This window comes from Homo sapiens, chromosome 9 (assembly GCF_000001405.40).
Source record: "Homo sapiens chromosome 9, GRCh38.p14 Primary Assembly".
Lineage (NCBI taxonomy): Eukaryota > Metazoa > Chordata > Mammalia > Primates > Hominidae > Homo > Homo sapiens.
Window position 1 is genome coordinate 107,813,738 of NC_000009.12, and position 21,816 is coordinate 107,835,553.

At 42.7% G+C, this 21,816-nt stretch overlaps 1 pseudogene; it reads right to left on the bottom strand.

The window, feature by feature from the left end:
• On the bottom strand, positions 20,715-21,119 carry RPL36AP6 (ribosomal protein L36a pseudogene 6; annotated as a pseudogene).

Sequence of the window (21,816 nt, forward strand, 5' to 3'; positions counted from 1 at the left end):
GAACACAATTTTTTTTTCTTCACTTCAGTGCACCTGTGATCATCTAGACCAGGGATGTCCAATCTTTTGGCTTCTCTGGGCCACATTGGAAGAAGAAAAATTGTCTTGGGCCTCACATAAAACACACTAACAGTAATGATAGCTGATGGGCTAAAAAAAAAATTTTGCAAAAAAAATCTCATAGTATTTTAGGAAAGTTTATGAATTTGTGTTGGGCTGCATTCAAAGCCATCTTGGGCTGCATGCGGCCCATGGGCCCCAAGTTGGAAAAGCTTGGTCTAGAGCCTGGGTGACCACTCCTTCCTAGCCGTGCATATGTGGTATACACCTCTAGACCTTAACAGAATGGAAAGTGAAGCAAAGAAGGCTTCGATCTTAGAAAGTGTTTAGGGTCCCTAATCTCCTTATCAGCTACACCCTACTTGTGGTTCTGGGGATTCAGCTGGAGGCAGAGAGGCAGTGCCTGAGCCCTGAGACTTCTCTACATGGTATCCAATATATTTCTTGTTGTATCATGATAGCACCACGATTAACCCATAGTTAACCTTAGCATCACAGTGATTATGTGACCCTGGGGTAGCTCTGCCTCATCTAACCAGGCCAGGACCACTTGTGGGGATTCCAGAGTCATTAAATATGGAAAATGGGAAAAGCTATGAATTACTTCCGGCCTCATTTGGAAGAAGCTGGCTATTTAATAGGCAGCAATTCAAGATTCAGCAGAGGAGACAGGGCCTGGCATGCATTAACTGTGTTCCCATGAACACGCAGGAAACCTTGCCATTATTTACAATGAGGGAGCATCTGCTGCATGCCACGCAGCAGAAGGAGCAATGGCACATCACCTTGTTTCATTCTTAAGATATCTTCAGGTAGGCAGCATGATTTCCATTTTCAGAAGAGGTAACTGAGGCTCAGAGAGACCATGTGACTTGCCCATGTCACATAGACAATCAATGGCAGTGCAGGGCTACATCCATGCATTTTTCAAAACTTGGCATGGGGATTTTAATAAGAGAAATCATGCATTTTTTTACAATTAGAATGGGAATTTACATTCAAATAAAGGACACTTTCATTAATGGGGTTTGGGAATGTAGGATGTTATTCCCCTGCTACTTCCAAGGGAACTGCAGGAGAAGGTGTAGGAGGATGAGCAAAGTTAGTCAAGAATGGGTGCAGAGACAGTCTTGGATATGTTCCACTCCTGTTACTGATATATCACAGCCATCCTGCTCCTTGACTCCCCCACTTCAGCTTGAAAGAGCTCACCATGGACCAAGAAGGTGGCAGGTCCTGGATGAAATGCACTGCCTTAGTGTTTGTGTTTCCTCCAGCTTTCAGGCCCATGAGTGTCAGTTGCAGAGCATGTCTCCACTGATTCCCTGGCATGTGGCACAGGCAGCCCAAACAACCACTAGGGAGGCTTTGTTGCTGCCAGAGTTTTGAGCTGGGTTCTGCCACCCTCAGGAGCCCGGTTGGAAGCTCGGAGCCTTGTGTAGGACAAAAGTCATTCTGTGGCCCTGAGCTTTGGAGGGAAGTGTTGACATCTTGCTAATTAACACAAAAGAGGTGTTGCTCCCTATACACTCTTCCTTTGGAAGCAGAGAGTGCAGTCAACGTAAATTGAAATTTAGATTAGGATCCCCACTCCTCCTTTGATTAGCTCAGTGATTTTTGTCAAAGTCAAGCAACCTCTCTGAGTCTCAGGTGACTTCATTTGTTCCGTGGAATGTTCACATGAGAGATGCTGTCAATGTCTTAGTACAGGCCTTAACTCCAAATGGGCATTCAATAAATAATTGCAGTTATTATCCCGTTTTGCTACATGAAGTTTACTGAAATATAAACACATTATATTCATTACAACATTTTCACTCTTAAGTAACAAAACTCAACTTAAAACTAACCTAAACATAAACTAATAAATAAAATTTTATTTACTCAGCAAGACCAACTTTAGGTGCAGCTGGATTCAGGGATTCCAACAGTGATATCAGGACCCAGCTTCTCTTCACCCCTTAGTTCAGAGTCCCTGTGGGTATTGGCTGTATCCTGTAGACAGGCTGTGGCCACCCACAGCTCCAGATTCACATGTTTTCCAGCTTATTAATTCCCAATGCCCATTTATTATCAATCCAGGGAAGATTTTGATTGGCCTTGCTTAGATTACACAACTTACACCTGGACCAATCACTGTTGCTAGAGGCATAGAGCACCGAGATTGGCTAATCTGGAGTCACATGACCAACTCTGTGATGAGGAAGGGGATGTTGGTAGATGGCTGGGATGACACAGACTGGAGACGAGCCGTTCTTCAATGGCGTTAAGGATGCTAGGCTGAAGAAAACAAAGCAATATCTACCTCAAGAGCCTTAGAGAAAGAGGTATTTGCTCCTGACTCTTCCCTAGGTCTCCCTATGAGTCAGTCCTAGTCCAAGTAAATTTGTTTCTAAAGTCATTAAAGAGAATTCTGTTGGCTTAGAAATACATATAGCTTCCATCAAAGTAAAATAATTTGCAGAAGAGTTGCTGTTGAGCTGTGTGAATCTGAATTGTAAGTAGGACCCCCAGGCAAAGTCTGTGACTTTGGCTTAAAACACATGGAACTCAGGGCAAAATTTCACTCAGCCAGCTGGGTGTCACATGGATGTCTCCTGCTTCAGTTGCTTTAAGACCACTGCTGTGCACATCAGTATCGAAGGGCACATGGGAACTGTTCTGCCAGTATTCTGAAGGCCCCCTTTATTCCCCCCACCACCCAACTTTTCCAAAGCAGTAACAGCCAAACACCCAAAGCCTACCTTATGTCACACGGATAGTTCTTTGACTCTGTAAGCTATAAACTTGCCAGCTCTTTCTTGGCAAACATTTGCACATTGTGCTAGCTTGAGGTTGAGAAGGTCAGGATTTGCATTTGCAAACTGATAAGGATATTTCTGTTTCGATCCCTGTCAGTCTTTTGCAGTGGTAAGAACCACAGTCTTCCTTGTGAGCTTTTTTCCTAGTAGTTATTTTATTTGTTTCACAAATACTTGTTGAACACCTGTTTTGTGTAACAGGCTGTGTTAGAAGACGAAGCCCACACATGTGAGCCAGATGTGAGCTGTCCTTCATTGCCTTGCTCTACTTCTTCAGGCCCTCCTCCCTTTTCCCACCCCTGCCAATGTAGAGAAGGCTTCCAGCACCTCTCTTTACTCAAGAGTTCTAAAGGGAGATGGAGGAAGATTACTTTGCACACCTTAGCAAACAATTTACAACATTCCCCTGCAACATTTTCATCATTCAAGGTTGGTTCTAGGACATGGCCATGTGCTAGAGTCATGAGTTTCCTGCTTTCCCTTTTCCTCAGCTTTGCTGGCCTCAGTTTCTTCCATTACAGTATCCACTTCCCTCCCCCATTCCCACACATTTGGCACTCTTTTTTATGAAGTAGATCAATTAATCTATACCTGAGCTTCTACCTCCATTCTTATATATGCAAAAGGCATCGTAATGGTTAGAAGACTAAAGGACCCCCAGTTTCCAGAATGTATGCTCCTTATAAAGCAATGTTAATGTGATAGTTATCAGGCCCCATTTAGCACCCAAAGGGCATGGCAGCATTGCTCAAATGTGGACTGAGAATCTCTGCTCCAAGATGCTGGTTAAGAATTAAAATTCTCGGCCAGGCACAGTGGCTCACACCTATAATCCCAGCACTTTGGGAGGCCAAGGTGGGTGGATCATTTGAGGTCAGGAGTTGGAGACCAGCCTGGCCAACATGGTGAAACCCCGTCTCTACTAAAAATACAAAAATTAGCCAGGCATGGTGGCTCACGCCTGCAGTCTCAGCTACTCAGGAGGCTGAGGTACGAGAATCTCTTGAACCTGGTGAGAGGTGACAGCATGCTGGCAGTCCTCGTAGCCCTCGCTCGCTCTCGGCACCTCCTCTACCTGGGCTCCCACTTTGGCGGCACTTGAGGAGCCCTTCAGCCCGCCGCTGCACTGTGGGAGCCCCTTTCTGGGCTGGCCAAGGCCGGAGCCGGCTCCGTCAGCTTGCCCGGAGGTGTGGAGGGAGAGGCGCCGGCGGGAACCGGGGCTGCGCGCGGTGCTTGCAGGCCAGCGCGAGTTCCGGGTGGGCGTGGGCTCAGCGGGCCCCACACTGGGAGCGGCCGGCCGGCCCTGCCAGCCCCGGGAAGTGAGGGGCTTAGCACCCAGGCCAGCAGCTGCGGAGGGTGCGCCGGGTCCACCAGCAGTGCTGGCCCACCGGCACTGCGCTCGATTTCTCGCCGGGCCTTAGCTGCCTCCCCGCGGGGCAGGGCTTGCGACCTGCAGCCCGCCATGCCTGAGTCTCCCCCCACCCCACCTCGCGCCGTTGGTTCCTGCACAGCCTGAGCCTCCCCGACGAGCGCCGCCCCCTGCTCCACGGCCCCTGGTCCCATCACTGCCCAAGGGCTGAGGAGTGCGGGTGCACGGCGCGGGACTGGCAGGCAGCTCCACCGGCGGCCCCGGTGTGAGATCCACTGGGTGAAGCCAGCTGGGCTCCTGAGTCTGGTGGGGACTTGGAGAATCTTTATGTCTAGCTAGGGGATTGTAAATACACCAATGGGCACTCTGTAGCTAGCTCAAGGTTTGTAAACACACCAGTCAGCACTTTGTGTCTAGCTCAGGGTTTGTGAATGCACCAATTGACACTCTGTATCTAGCTACTCTGGTGGGGACTTGGAGAACCTTTGTGTCCACACTCTGTATCTAGCTAATCTAGTGGGAACGTGGAGAGCTTTTGTGTCTAGCTCAGGGATTGTAAATGCACCAATCAGCACCCTGTCAAAATGGACCAATCAGCTCTCTGTAAAATGGACCAATCGGCTCTCTGTAAAATGGCCCAATCATCAGGATGGGGGGGTGGTGGTGGGCGGTGCAGATAAGAGAATAAAAGCAGGCTGCCAGACCTAGCAGTGGCAACCGGCTGGGGTCTCTTTCCAGGCTGTGGGAGCTATGTTCTTTCGCTCTTTGCAAGAAGTCTTGGTGCTGCTCATTCTTTGAGTTAACATCGTTTTTATGAGCTGTAACACTCACCACGAAGGTCTGCAGCTTCACTCCAGAGCCAGCGAGACCATGAACCCACCAGAAGGAAGAAACTCCGAACACATCCAAAATCAGAAGGAACAAACTCTGGACACGCCCCATTTAAGAACTGTAACACTCACAGCGAGGGTCCGCGGCTTCATTCTTGAAGTCAGTGAGACCAAGAACCCACCAATTCCGGACACACTGGGAGGCGGAGGTTGCAGTGAGCAGAGCACACCATTGCACTCCAGCCTGGGCAGCAGAGTGAGACTCTGTCTCCAAAAAAAAAAAGAAAAGAAAATTTTGGAGCCCTACCCCAGGTAAACAGAATGAGAATCTCTCTGGGCAGGAGTAGTTGTTCTGAACTCTGTTGGGCTATAGGATTCACCTGGAGAGATTTTGTCTTTTTGTTTTGTTATTCAATTGTCCCCAAGTGATTGAAATATGGAGCCGGGATTGCCAGTCTTTGGATTAGAGGCACCTGCATTTTTTACAAGCATCTCAGTGACTCTTAGCCTGCTAATGTTTGCATTGTAGAAGTTTAGAGGATAAAATATAATTTTCTTCTGGAGTTCGGGGAAGGTGGAGTGAGGAGAAAACTTCCTAGGTGAGTGGTTTTGTGGGTGAAATTGGGAAAAGTGAGTGGGGTTTCATTAGTTGTGGGGAAAGGGGAACATGGACAGTTTAAATCATTACATGTTTAAATTCTAGGTTGTTTAAAACAGAGCTAGTGGTAGCCCAGCTTTGAAAGTAGATCCAACTCTAAAATGACATCCTTATTTGCCTGTAAGCATTTAAAATACTTCTTGTCCTTCCTATGATCATACACCCTTTTCCTCCCCTCTAAGGAGACAAATTCACAGGTACAGTCACTAAGGGTCGTGGATTTTTCTAAAACTTCTGCCCCACTGATGTAGTAAGTCATGAAAATATTCCAGACATGCCAATGTTTAAATCTTCAAATTCCATTTCCAAGATGACCTCTGGCATTTGAAAGTGACACAAAGGTCTGTTGACAACCGCAAGTTTCAGCTGAGCGTTTTAATAATAAGGCCTCCGCCTCCCAGGCGGCCAATAACACCAGCTCTCATCAGTGTGCTGGGACAGGCGTGCGCACCGCACCAAGCCAGCTGAGGCCAAGCCTGATAACAATCAGTCAATACTGAGATCAGGCCGCTGATTGCTTTTCTCAACTTAATGCTGTTTGTTTAACTAACACCAGTGAGAGTCCTTATTAAGGGCTGTTAACACTCTGAAATGGTGTTTGTTGAGCTTGCCAAAGTGATAAGTGATGCTGTGTTTACTCTCTTGTTCTCAAGGCTGATGGAGAAGCCTAAAACACAGTTTTGAAGTGCTTCGCTCTAATGAAGATACTAGTGAGTTCCACAAATAAGCCAATGGTTTGAGAACAGAATCACGAAGGCTAAAAAAAGTTTGCAAATGTTTGTTGGCTTGTAATGGATTTGCTTGATGATAACCACAAAGCATACACACACACACTACCCACTCATACACATTTCATTGTGTCCAAATACATCTTAAGATCTGTGCTCTTTTACTCTCAGCTCTGAGTGTAGAATGCAAGTGCTTTCTTTCCCAAACATGCGAGTGAATTGTGCGTGCTTGTGTTCAGAAGGAGAGAAAACATCAGATGGCCGGAAACATAGAGTGAGGGACTGCTTTCCCCAAACTCGTGCCCTCTAACATAAGCAAATGCTGGCTTTCCTGGAGAGCTAGCTTTCTTCAGGACTCTTATCCACTGTGACTCCAGTGGATTTTGGGGAGGGAGGGGTCTCTACTATTGAAAGAAAGAAAAAGGGAAGAAAGGAAAAGAAGCAGGAGGGAGAGGAGGAGGAATGTGAGGAAGAAAAGGAAAGAAGAAAGGAAAAGGAGGTAGGAGAGGGAGGCAGGAAGGCAAGAAAGAAGGAGTAAGAAAAGACCATCATTCTAATTTAAGCCCCTCATTTTAAAATAGAAAAACTGAGTTTCGGAGACAGAAAATTTCGAATGCGAAGTTGCATAACAAATCGTAAATAGAGGAAACAATGGTCTGCAAAGTCCAGGTTTTTTTATTTTCAATCCTTTTTTTTTTTTTTTTTTGCTACACTTTGCTGTGTAGCAAACATGTTGAGAAAACATGTTGCTGGTGGGAGCTATTTCCATATTTCACCTGTTTTGACATTGGCAGTGAATAGCTGGTCCTTAGGGAAGCTTTCTTTCAAAGGGAGATAAAACTGTTTTTAAATATTGAGCAGGAAAAGCTGTCACAGATTTCAGATATACTATGGAAGAGGTTTTAAATACAAGTGTGTGCCTGTTGAATTTTAATCGTGAAATGTAGCATTATTGAAATGCTTGCTTTTTTTTTATCACCATAGTTCTGAATTATTTAAAGAACATTAAATGATACTAATTTAGGTTGGAAAGTGGAAAAAGCTACAATCACTTCTCAGTAAACTAGGATCGGGGATTGGAGTAGAAAACCACAGAATATTGGTTGAGGGAATTCACAAAAATAAAAACATAGCAGAGGCTTAAATAGTCATCACCGCTCACCACACACAGAGGCTTCCTAATAGCTGGTTAACTTAAGTGAGAGACTTCCCTAAGACAGGAGTAAATTTTGGGGCTGGGCCTCTTGGAGGAGGGTCAAGGGGGAAAATCCTAACAGACAAACCTCTGGGCTCCATCCCAAGCTTCCCTAGAACTGCTCCACTTTAATCTTCTCATATTTTGAAATATTTACTATGTATCAGGGACTTTTCCAAACATTATACATGTGCTAATTTATTTAATCTTTACAACCCTGTGAGGTTGACATTGTTGTTATCGTCAAGGTCAAAACGGCTAATAAATTGCAGAACTGGAATTGAGACCAAGGCAATTCAGTTCTGAGTGTATGTCCTCAACTGCATGCCACACTTACTCTGAAATTTGCAAGGATCATCTGGAGGCAATGCTGTAGACTCGGCATGCACGAATGGCCGTCTACATCACTTCATGGTGCTGCGCATGTTGGACAGCAGATTATGCCCTTTAGCCGTGGGATGTGGCACTAGGGTAGCAGTGGGCATGGTGTTTCCTTCTCCTTGAAATTCTTTTCTTTGACTGGGTGCGGTGGCTAACACCTGTAATCCCAACCCTTTGGGAAGCCAAGGCTGGTAGCATTGCTTGAGCTCAGGAGTTTGAGACAAGCCCGGGCAACATAGCAAGACCTAGCCTCTACTAAAAATAAAATTAGCCAGGCATGGAGGTGCACACCTGTAGTGTCCCAGCTACTCGGAAGGCTGAGGTGGGAGGATCACTTGAACCCAGAAGATGGAGACTACAATGAGCTGTGATCACACCGCTGCACTCCAACCTGGGAGACAGAGCAAGACCCAGTCTCAAAAAAAAAAAAAAAAAAAAAAAAATTTTTTTTTTTTGTTAATTCTTGCTTCTGAGCCTTGACCATGGTGTATTTGGGAAGTAAGAAGAAAAGGAGTGTTCAGAGAGGTTGTTGATAAGCCCATTCTCAGCAAATTCCTCTAGACTCTTCAGCAGATGTTGCAGTTTGAGTTAGATGGTTCGGTTATGAGATGCCTGATTACTGCTGTTTATCAGCTTTGAACTTTGTGGGTGATGCTTTTCTCCGAGCTGAATCTTGGTAGGGTATACAAACATTGACTTCCTGAGTATGTAAACCTCGTTAAACTTTTCAAACCAGGAATATAATAATTGAAAAATCTGTTTTACTCTGCTATAATCATGCATTTCAGGAAATTCAGGAGCCAACAGAGAAAGATACTTCAGAATGGGAACAGATGTCAACCTTTTGCATTTTAAGAGTAGTGACATAAAATGTTCATTTTACTGTGGAAACGAGCCCACAATGTGTGCTCAGTTAATGCTAGAATTAAAAAAATTTAATAGTCACAAACTCAAGTATTTCTGAAGGTTTTGATTGGCCGCTGACTTTAAGGACTATATTGACCACCCCAGCTATTTGCAATAAACAAAAACAAACAATGGAAAACAAATCTTAATAACAATGTCCTCAGATTCTTAGCATTTCTATTTGTCTACTGTTTATTTTTTTCAAACTTATCATTTGTGATATATAAGACACTCCACAGACCAGTGGCTTGGTATTCAAGGCCCTCACTATTTGATTTGCAACTGGCCTTACATCCGTTTTACATCTATTTAGTTAAAACTATGTTGCCTGAAAATAACAGAAAGTCCCACCGACAGTGGAACAAACAATTAAGGAATATATTCGTCTCATGCAACAGGAAGTTCAAGGTAGACAGTTTAGGGCTAGTATGGCAGCATGTGTACGCCACCAGCAACCCTGGTTCCTTTTATTTTCCTGGTCTGCCATTCACAGACTATAACTTTCTTCACAGAAGATGAGATGGCTTCTGCACTTCCAGGCATGGCTTCTGCCTGGGCTAAAATAAAGGTGAAGAGTGATGGGTAAAGGGCTTTCTCATAGCAGGGCTTTTGGAAAGAGTGTCCTGGACAAGAACTTCTGCCAGATCTCATCGGCCAGAGTACTATGGAGCCGGGAAGATCCACATATCTTTAGCTGGGACCATTGTCACTCAGAACAAAGTTGGGTTTTCTGTGAAAGGAAGAAGGAAATGGCAGTAGGAATGGTCATTACCAGTGTCTGCTGCACACAGCTGTGCTGCCAGAATAAATGCCTTGCAGTGCCCTGTTCATATCCATGGACCCCCCGTTCACATTTCTGCTTATACTCTTCTTTCATCCTGAAATATTTTCACCTCCATTCTAATATTCTTATTTCCACAATTTCAAGATCCCCCTGTCTCTGGGGTACCTTTTTTCTCAGCACCTTTCCTGACATCCTTATCCCAGTGGGCAGGGGTCTCCATCTTCCCGCATTCCCACTGCCCTTTACCATCGGAGAGCCTGAGGATGTGACTTCCCTCCAGCCATCCCTGCAGTTTGGCTACCACATTCTGCAAAGCAGGGTAGAGGGCTAGTGTTCCCTAGAGAGGCTACCCTTCTCCCACTGTGTTTTGTCCAGGAGAGACACTAAATGAGTGGGGGTAGATATTTACACTTTACAACTAAGACACAAAAGGAGGCATTTTTGTTTTCTATTGTTGGGGAGATCGTACTAACTAGTTTGCTTGGGACAGTTCTGATTTATGCTTGCTATTCTGGAGAAATTATTAATAGCGCCCCCTTTCACCCTCAGAAGTGTCCCAGTTTAAAAAAAATAAATTCTGTGTTTATCGATAAATGACCTTATTTTGCAATGGAACTTCCACTCCCATTCCCTGGGGGATGGGTGGGGAGGAGAAGTTTGCCGGTTAAGGGAAACTCTGTCTCTCTGGTTTAAAACACTTTCATCTGGATTAACTCACAGTCAATTAGATATGTACTTGGCTTATTCCAAATCTAAACTCTATCAGAGCTGTTTCTGCCCTTCGGTCTCAGGATCTTCTTTTTTCCAAAATGTGTCTGAGAGCAAGTCCCTTGTCCAAAGCACCAATGTCAACCATTTCTAAAACTTGTCTGCTATGCCAGCATTTGGAGTTCACAGCTATATTAAGAGTTTTGGTATTATCCTTTACTTCTTCTCCCATCTATGGCTTTTAATTTTACAGGGAGTTGGAGGTGACATTTGACCTCCTTCTTCCTCATCTTCCTTTATTTTTGTCTTGTGAGCATTTTCTGTTTCTTCTCCTTTAACTTATAGCTTGTAGGAAACTCTCAATCCCAAGTCCACTAGACTTGAGTTTTGATAGGTAATGGAATGTAGAAAGCCATATTTTCCTTTCAATGAAGTTTAATTAATTAATTTATTTTTTTATTTAATAAGGAATATATGCTTCTGGGCAGAAAGAGGGAAAATCATGAGCAATGATATGTGGGTTGAGAAGGGGAGAAAAAGACAATTCTGTATTTTCCCCCAAAGGATGATCCCTGTTATAGCTACTTACTGAGTGACTTGATAAACGTGTGACTTCATACAACTTTCCAGAAGCTACCTAATGCCAAAAACCATGAAGAAAGAGTATATATGTGCTAATACCCTTGTAACACAGTGGAATTCGGTGTCTCTACTGGCACTCCTCATGGACCCTCACCCTTCAAGGGTGGTCCTGGCTATTGTTGGAGCCCCAGATCATTTCACTCCCCAGCCAACTCTCTGGGCCTTGCAGTGATTCGCTTATAAATGTAGAAAACAGAATTTATTCTGCATCACCAGATAAAGACTGAGCAGTCTAAAGAAAGTTCAGTGCATTAAAACTGCTTTAAATCTTCCAGATTATGGCAAAACGGCTAGGTAGAGAAAAGAAGTGAGCTCTATTCTCTGTTTCACTGTGGCTAAACTGTGCATTGGTTTCTAATTTTATTATTGCCCATAAAATAAGCGCAGTGTTATATGTGTTTATTATATATATATTATATATATATATTTATTTATATACGTATATTTAATTTCCAAGAGAGCTTTAGAAAAATTTTGTAAGACAGCTGTGGAGTCGATGAAAAATGCTGAACTTGAAATCTGAGGACCTGGATTTGGATCTTCATCTAACTCCCTATAAAATTGCTTAGTCTTGGTTTCTTCCTCTGTAATAAGGATTATACCTACCTCACAAAATTGCGACAAGAATTAAATGAGATAATGCAATTGGTGATGCATTGTAAAATAATTTATTAGATATGAAAGCATCCAATGTTTTTAAGAGAGAAATTTATCTATGTAGCAAATGTTATATCCAGACATTGTGAGCACAAACTGTGAAAGCAGATCTAAGCATCTAAATTTATAGATACACAATGGTACCTAGCAGCGGGGAATTGTGACAGCCTGGAAAGTCATCTTTCCAAGGCTAAAAATGGGCCAGGCGTAGTAGCTCATGCCTGTAATTTCAGCAGTTTTGGAGGCCGAGGTGGGAGGATCACTTGAGCCCGGGAATTTGAGACCAGCCTGGGCAACATAGGGAGACCCTGTCTCTTCAAAAAATTAAAAAACTTGGCCAGGTGTGGTGGCGCATGCCTGTAGTTCCAGCTACTTGGGGGGGCTGAGGTGGAAGGATTGCTTGAGTCTGGGAGGTCAAGGCTGCAGTGAGCCATGATCACGCCATTGCACTCCAGTCTGGATGACAGAGCTGATCCCGTCTGAAAAAAAAACCCCAAAAACCAAACCAAACCAAACAAAAAAAATGCTAAAGAGGCAAAAAGTTGATGACAAAGGCCAGAGGGGGACTCTGTTTCTTTTCCAAGCTCTGGGTAGGCAGTGTCTCCTGGAAAGAAGGATGTGTTCCTCTCACTAAATTGTAATTAAGGCAAGCAATAAAATAAAGTTCCCTGATGTTTGCATAGGCTTTTTTTTTTTCTTCAAGGAGAGCCAGGGAGTCAAACCCTGCCTGTCGCACTCCAAAACTTAAAATTGTCTTCCTGTCCATGAGGATTAATACTTTTGTTTTCAAAAAGGCTATTGGTCCATGGAAGAAAGAGAAACTTCCTTTTTGAAAAGAAAACCTCAGTGCTGCAAAGAAAGTTCATGAAGATGGTATATCCATGAAGGTCCTTTCTCTTCCTAATAATAGCTAAGAAGTGTTTCCAAGTGTGAATAGGGAGTCTGATCATTCTGGTGATCCTTTGAAGCTCCCTCTACTGGGGTCCTGTCTTCTCTTTTCTTTCTTTTCTTTTCTTTCCCTTTCCCTTTCCCTTTCCCTTTCCCTTTCCCTTTCCCTTTCCCTTTCCCTTTCCCTTTCCCTTTCCGAGTCTCGCTCTGTCGCCCAGGCTGTAGTGCAGTGGCGCAATCTCGGCTCACTGCAAGCTCCGCCTCCCGGGTTCACGCCATTCTCCTGCCTCAGCCTCCGGGCTAGCTGGGACTACAGGCGCCCGCCACTGTGCCAGGCTAATTTTTTGTATTTTTAGTAGAGATGGGGTTTCACCATATTAGCCAGGATGGTCTCGATCTCCTGACTTCGTGACCCACCCGCCTCGACTTCCCAAAGTGCTGGGATTACAGGCATGAGTCACCGCGCCCGGCCCAGATTTCATCTTTTCAAGGAATCCTGATCTCTTGGGAGCTAGAGAGATGGTTTGCCTTAGCTTATTTGTGTGACCAAGGAGACAGACAAAAGACTTCTCTTTCCAGGAATTCAAATTCCTAGAATCCTGGGACCTTGGAGAAGAAAAAGAAGTAGTACTAGTGGGCTACTTGCTCTTTAAAGAGCTGGATCTTACCGCTTCTTTTGAAATGTGGTGTGAGGGCAGTATAGAGAGTTCTTTCACCTGAGGACCTGCAGAGTCTGCTCCATAGGGGAATGAACAAATGATTGCATCCATCTTGTAAACCTGTTTCCTCAAAGCCTGACATCTGAGGCTGAGGCAGGAGAATGGCATGAAGCGGGGGGAGGCGGAGCTTGTAGTTAGCCGAGATCACACCACTGCACTCCAGCCTGGGCGACTGAGCGAGGCTCCGTCTCAAAAAAAAAAACCTGACATCTGGCACAGAGTAGGTGCTCATTAAATATTAAATGATTGAATGAATGCAATAATGCATTTCTGAACAGTTCTCAAAGCTGACATCCAGTGAGTGGAGTAGGGGACAGAGGTACTTATATTATTAGTAATATGTATTGTATTTGCATGTCTGTTACTTCATTCACTTTAGCTCAACTACAGAAACAGAGAGAGATAAAGATAGAGAGGGAAAGCATGTGCGTGAGAGAATTGCACATGATACATGATTCTTATTGACTAGATAAGGAAACTGAAAATTGAGTGACTAAGCTTCTTGTTCAAGGTTACAATGAGGCAGATCTCAGGCTCATACCTAGGCCTGTCTGGCTGGAAAACCAGCACTCTGTGTCCCCACTCTGTTGTGCTAAGTGATATCCTTGGCGTGGAAGGGGAAGTCAGCAGTCAGAGTAGAAAAATCAGCATTCACGAAGATGGAAGACGGGGAGGTGAAGTGGGATGTAACCAGACATCCTGTGGAAGGGCAGTCATTGCATTTTCTAATTGCTTTGAAATCCAGGTTTACAATTCTTGAGAAATGAATTTTATTTTTTTGAGGCTACTGAAAAACTGTAGTTTGAGTCCCCTTAAGATCTGTCACTGATGTTTTGGCAGATATCTGGACATTTCTTGGCTGGCTGTTATATATCTAGAAGTGCTAGACTATTCCATGTACATTCTGTTATTCCATCCTCATAAGGACCCAGTGAGATGTTTTAATCTCCATTTTATAAATCCAGGAACTGAGTTTCAAAGAAATAAGTGATTTCACTTGAGGTCATACACTATAATTGGCAGAGCCAGTGTATGAATCAAGAAATGTCTGTCAGTTAAGTGTTCCTTGTTTATTTTTATCTTTTATTGACGTATCATAATTGTACATATTTCTGGGGTACATGTAACATTTGGATACATGTATACAATGTATAATAATCAAAGGTAATTAGGATATCTATCACATCAAACATTTATCTTTTCGTTTTTGTTTTAAGACAAGGTCTCACTCTGTCTCCCAGGCTTGAGTGCAGTGGCATGATCACTGCAGCCTCTACCTCCTGGGATCAGGCAATTCTCTCACCTCAGCCTCCCAAGTAGCTGGGACCACAGGCATATGCTACCACATCTGGCAAATTTTTTAAAACTATTTGTAGAGACAGGGTTTCCTTATTTTGCCCAGGCTGATCTTGAACTGCTGGGCTCAAGTGATCCTCCTGCTTCAGCCTCCCAAAGTGCTGGGATTATAGGTGTGAGCCACAGCACTTAGTCAACATTTATCTTTTCTTTGTATTGAGAACATTATAATTATTTTCTTCTAGCTATTCTGAAATATATAATAAATAACTGCTAACTCTAATTTCCTTACTGTAATATCAAATGCTAGAACTTATTCTTTCAATCTGACTGTATATCTGTACCCATTAACCAACTTCTCTTCCTCCTCCCCATCCCAGCTTCCCTTTCCAGTCTCTGGTAATTACTGTTCTCTCTACATCCATTAGATCCATTTTTTGTTCTTTAGCTCATACATATGAGTGAGAACACACAATATTTGTTTTTCTGTGCCTGGCTTATTTCACTTAACATAATCACCTCTAGTTCTATCCATGTTGCTGTAAATGACAGTTTTTTTTTTTTTTTTAAGGCTGAATAATACACCATTGTGTATATGTACCATATTTTCTTCATTCATCTGTTGATGGATGCTTGGGTTGATCTCATATCTTGGTGGTTATGAATAGTGCTGCAGTAAACATAGGGGGGTGCAGATATCTCTTTGACATACTGATTCTCTTTCTTTTGGAGATATATCCAGCAGTGGCATTGCTGAATCATATGGTAGTTCTATTTTTAGTTTTTTGGGGGAACCCCCATACTGTTTTTCATAATGGCTGTTCTACTTTGCCATCAATAGTGTCTTAGCATTCCCCTTTTCTGCATCCTCACCAGCACTTGTTATTATTTGTCTTTTTGATAATAGCCATTCTAACTGGGCGAGATGATATCACACTGTGGTTTTGATTTGCATTTCCCTGATGATTAGTGATGTTGAGCATTTTAAAATATACCTGTAAGCCATTTATATTTCTCCTCCTCCTCCTCCTTTTTCTTCTTCTCCCCTTCCCCCTACCCTACCCTTTCTCCTTTTCCTTCTTGATGGGGTCTTGCTATGTTTCCCAGGCTAGCCTCAAACTCTTGGGCTCAAGTAATCCACCTCAGCCTCCCAAGTAGCTGGGACTACAGGCACACACTACCACTTCCAGCTTCCATTTATATTTCTTCTTTTGAGAAATGTCTATTCAGGTCTTTTGCCCATGTTTAAGGAAGATTATTTGTTTTTCTGCTATTGAGGTGTTTTAGTTTCTTATATATTCTGGTTATTAATCTCTTGTCAGATGGATAGTTTGCAAATATTTTCTACCATTCTGTAGGTTGTCTCTTTACTTTGTTAAGTGTTTTCTTTGCTATGGAGAAGCTTTTTAGCTGATTTAGTTCCATTTGTCTATTTTTGCTTTTGTTGTCTGTGCTTTTGAGGCCTTACACCAAAAAAATCTTTGCCCAGACAAAGGTCCTATAGCATTTCTCTAATGTTTTCTTCTAATAGTTTCATACTTTTGGGTCTTACATTTAAGTCTAATCAATTTTGAGTTGATTTTTGTGTATGGTGGAAGATAGAAATCTAGTTTCATTCTTCTGCATATGAGTATCCAGTTTTTCCAGAGCTATTTATTAAGGACACTGTCATTTCCCCGGTGTATGTTCTTGGTGCCTTTGTCAAAAATTAGTTGACTGTGTGTGGATTTGTTTATTGTTTCTCTACCCTGTTTCATTGATCTATGTGTCTGTTTTTATGCCAGTACCATGCTGTGTTGGTTATTATAGCTTTGTAGTATAACTTGAAATCAGATAGTATGATGCCTCCAGGTTTGTTCTCTTTGCTCAGGATTGGTTTAGCTATTTGAGGTCTTTCCTAGTTCAACATAAATTTTAGGATTATTTGTTTTATTTCTGTAAAAAATGTCACCAGTATTTTAATAGAGATTATATTAAATCTGTAGATTGTTTTGGGTAGTACAGACATTTTATCAATATTAATTCTTTCAATTCATGAATGTAGGATATCTTTCCATTTTTTTCTGTCCTTTTCAATTTCTCTCATCAGTGAGAGATCTTTTACTTTTTTGGTTAAATGTATTCCTAGGGTGTGTGTGTGTTGACTGCAAATTGTATTGCTTTCCTGATTTCTTTTTCAGATTGATTGCTGTTAGTGTATGGCAACACTATCGATTTTTGTATGTTGATTTTGTGTCCTGTAACTTCACTAAATTCATTTATCAGTTCTAAGGGTTTTTGGTGGAGCCTAAAGGTTTTTGTAAATATAAGATTGTGTCATCTGCAAACAAGGATAATCCGACTTTCTCCTTTCCAATTTGGATGCCCTTTATTTATTTCTCTTGCCAAATTACTCTGGCTAGGACTTCTAGTACTATGTTAAATAAAAGCAGTGAAAGTGGGAATCCTTGTCTTGGTCCAGATCTTAGTGGAAGTGCTTTCAGTTTTTTGCCATTCAGTGTATTAGCCGTAGGCTTGTCCTATATGGTCTTTATTGTGTTGAGATGTTCCTTCTATATGCTGTTTGTTGACAGCTTTTATCATAAAGCAATGTTGCATTTTATTTAAATTTTTAGCATCTAATGAAATGATCATAAGGTTTTTTTATCCCTGATTCTATTTATGTGATGAAGTGTTCTTTTTAGTTCTCTCAGCTTGATGACATTGCAGTTGACTAAAAAAAAAATAGAGAGAAAAAAAGAAGAAAGTCTAGAAGCCCAACTAATTATTTGAGAAGCAGACAAACTGTGCCAGAAGTTATCTTGCTCTGTCTTCTAGAAGAAACCTATCATTATCTGTGGAATAAAAACACTAACATCCTTGCAGCTAATTAATGTTGTTTTAGTTTTCAAGGTTTCTTCTCACATGTTTATTCATTCAGCAAATGTTTATTGAGTGCCTGCTTTGTGTTCATGATTCTCTAGACCTCAAGAAAATAGCTAGGACAGGCTGGGCATGGTGGCTCACGCCTGTAATTCCAGCACATTTGGAGGCCAAGGTGGGCAGGTAACACTTGAGTCCAGGAGTTTGAGACCAGCCTGGGCAACACGGCAAAACCCATTTCTACAAAAAATTGCTGGGAGTGGTAGTATGCACCTGTAGTTTCAGTTACTTGGGAGGCTGAAGTGAAAGGATTGCTTGAGCCTGGGAGGTGGAGGTTGCAATGAGCTAAGATATCACTACTGTACTCCAGCCTGGATGACAGGGTGAGAACTTGTTTAAAAAAATAAATAAATAAAACATAACAAAAACAACTCTTATTTGTCTCCCAGCAGGGGAGAAAGATGGCAGCAACTTTTATTCTATTTTATTAAACAGCTATGTTGAGATAGACTTCACATACTATAAATTCTACCCTCTGAAAGTGTGTAATTCAGAGGTTTTTAGTATATCACAAAGTTGTGCAACCATTACCACTACCTGATTCCAGATCAATTTCAAATGGATATCTAATTTGTTAGGAGTGACAAGGTCACCGAAGACAAATAAGTGGGGTGAGGTGACAACATTGCTAGTTTACCTGCAGTGATCAAGAGAAGGCTTGCCAGATACGGTGATATTGGAGCAGAAACCTGCATGCAGTGAGGGAGTGAGACCTGGATATCTGGGGAAAGAATGGTCCTTGGAGAAAACAGTGCCAGATCCCGAGGCAGGAGCACATCCAGTGTTCAGGGAAGAGTAAAGAGATCAGTGAGAGGCTGGGTGTGTGGTTCACGCCTGTAATTCCAGTACTTTTGGAGGTTGAGGTGGGTGGATCTCTTGAGTCCAGGAGTTCGAGACCAGCCTGGGCAACATGGCAAAACCCTGTCTCTACCAAAAACATGAAAAATTATCCAGGCATGATGGTGCCTGCCTGTGGTCCCACCTACTCAAGAGGCTGAAGTAGAAGAATCACCTGAGCCCATGAGGCTGTGAGTTTGCAGTAAGCAGAGATGGTGCCACTGCCCTCCAGCCTGGAAGACAGAGTGAGGCCCTCTCTCAAAAATAAAAACAAACAAAAAGATCAGTGAGAAGAGTCAAGGGCCCAGGAAGGGAGATGGTCCTATCCGAGTGTTATAAGGGATCATGTGTTGGAGCACTTGGTACAATGCCTGGTACACGGTACATGAAAGGTGTGATTATTATTGCTGTTCTCATCTTAAGGGCACCAGGCACTTTGCTTCCTGAGCACCAAGGCTCTGTTTCACCTTTGCATGCCCCTGCAGACAAGACCAATGATGTGGACCAATGATGTCGCCTTAATGTGAAGAGTCATTAAACATCCATTGAGTGGAAGAAGTTTCTTTAGTCTTTAATAACCTTTGTTTGCTCTAGGAATGAGCAGAAATATACATGCTCAGATGGACTGATAAACCACAAAGTCCAATTTTAACTCTTCCTACCAACGGGGCATTGTTTTCTCGAAGGCTTTAAAAATTTCTATTTCCTTGAGAGGCGGGGTGGGATGAAGATTTTTTTTTTTTTCCTTGGCTTCTTGTTGAAGGCGGCTCTGTGATGGGGTTTCTTTATAGTTGGGCAAGGGGCTGTCTGGGTCAAAGTGACAGCCAACGTGTGCTGCTATTACAACACATTACACAAATAGCTCTACATAATTGCTACCATCCATCAATTTGGGGAGATCCGTGGTGAGAGACGCTGCCAGTTTCTTGGAATGAAAACTAAAGCTCCAAATAGCCCATACAGTCACACTCACTAATCAATGCCAGTTTTTCTAAGGGAGGGTAAAATTGGTCTAGTCACCAATTCAGCCTTGAAAAGGATTCCCTTGTGTGTCCTTCATGTGGATTTCAAGCCTGTTTCCTCAATGCTCTCTTTACATTTTTTTTCCTTGAATCTCTCCCAAACTCTTTTTATCATAGTATTTTTTGCTCTGCATTTTCCTATGTTGCAAGCTGAAGTCTTTGTTGAGCTGGCTAAGGATGGTTAGCTTTCTGATGGGTTTAGGTTAATCTAACCACCGTGGGCAGCAGGACAGAACGTCTCAGCTCCATGTGCAGTTGGGAGTTCTCATTGACCAGCTTCTCTGTCTGCATGGGTTGAGTTAACCTGATTATTTCTCAATTTCTATTTCATTCTGGATTGGAAAAAGAGTAACCATGAGTTACAAAAACAAACAAGTGGAAAAAAAAAAAACATGTTAGAGGTACAGCATTCCAAATTGTGAAATCTCTCAATAGTCACATCTTGCTCTTCAACTCAGTCATTCTAAGACACTGGGCCGTAAGCACTGTGCAGCAGGCAGGGCTGTATAGGGCAGGGCTAATGGCAGTGTATCTGACACGAAGAGGCAGAAAAATCTTATTGAATTGATGCTGAAGTAATGAAGTCACATTCTTGTTGATCGAAAATACAATTAAACAGAAAATTCCCACAAATAAGGCCCTTTTGAGCAGTGCTATATATGGTCAACAGCTTGCCTTGTAATAACTCCGAGGGACTCTACAAACTCGTGGAATGTGAGAACCTTGTTTAGTTCCCCTGAGAATGGGCCATACGGTCTCTTTAGCAGTGGTAATGGTGGAGGGTGTATGTGTTCCACAGATCCATGTTACAGACACGGCCGACAACTTTCCACCCCCAGCACATAGTCTGGTTTTCCTTCTCCATGAGAAGTGGTCTCCCTTGATACGAAAAGCCCTCTTCCATCAGAATGCCCCTTGAGGCATGAGCCCCTATCAAAGGATGAGATGGGGGAGCCTATGAGGTTCCTTTGGCTTCATGTTCCATGCTCTATCTGGATCCTCTAGTAATGTTCATCTGAATGAATCCTCCATGTTCTCCAGAATGGTATAGCCTATTATTATACTAGCCAGAATTATTTTTTTTTGTGTGGATAATCAATAGGAAATAAAAGAATTCAAGGGTGATTTGGTGTTTGCAGAAATCCTTAGAAGTTCTTTAAGAGGAAAAAAAGTAAGTCTTGCTTAAAACCCTCAAGCCAAGGGACATGGTTCTTTTTCATGGATAAGTGCTACTGAGAAAAATGCAATAAAACATGTCATTCTTTCCGGTCAATAGACACTAGACATTTAAATTTTCTGTTATTGTTTTTTTGAAGTGAACATACACTCAAAGTTTTATTGTCTTCATCATAAAACAAAAGATGACACTTAGAACCGGATCGCTTGGCCCTTTGTCTTTGTACCTCCTCCCAGTTCAAAATCCTTGTATCTCTTAATGGCCAGCACTTTTGTAGATCTGCAGTTGGGCTCAATGCACTCAAGCCTCAGCACAATCTTCTTTGTAGTTTTAGCCTTTTTCCTGAAAATGGGCTCAGTCTGCCCGCAATAGCCACTTGGCTTCCTATTATAGCACTTCTTTCCCTGGGCATACAGAGAATCTTTGCCCATCTCATTCTGTGTCACTTTGTGGGACTGGTGCTTGACACACTTGTTACAGAAAGTCCGGTGGGTTTTAGGAACATTCACCATACTTGCGGGAGTGCTGTGGGCACAGAAGTGCATTTAAATTTTCTTGGGCAAAACAGGATTAAAAAAAGGTAGTTTTAACTTTTCTGGGTGCTGGCGTAGTTAAAGAGATGGTCAGGTAATTAACTCTCCCCTCCTGGCAGGCAGCATATAATAATAGCAGTATAATAATGAGAAAGAGAGTATGTTATATTTGAGTAGCACTCTATACTCTGAAACTGCATTCACCTGCATTTTCACTTGATCCTCCTAATAAGCCTGTGAGGACACTTAGGCAGGCATTACACAGATAAGGAAACCGAGGATCATAGAGAAAGTGGAAAGCGACTTTTTCAAGATCTCATAGTTAAATGGTGACTTTTGAACTTGGGTTTCCCTACTCTCCAGCTGTCACCTTCTCTGCTAGAAGAGGGGTGGTGAGGAGGGGAAGAATATTTCCTCCCAATTTTTTTGTTTCAGTGGTTGATTGACCCTCAAGAGAGACTCCCTTTATTTCGGCTCTCAGGAGTCTGAGGTACTGTTTGCCCAAAACAGGCTTAAAAACCAAACAAACATAAAAACAGAGGCTGGGCACGGTGGCTCATGCCTATAATCCCAGTGCTTTGGGAGTCTGAGGCAGGCAGATCACTTGAGGACAGGAGTTCGAGACCAGCCTGGCCATCATGGCGAAACCTCATCTCTACTAAAAATACAAAAATTAGCCGGGCGTGGTGGCCCGTGCCTGTAA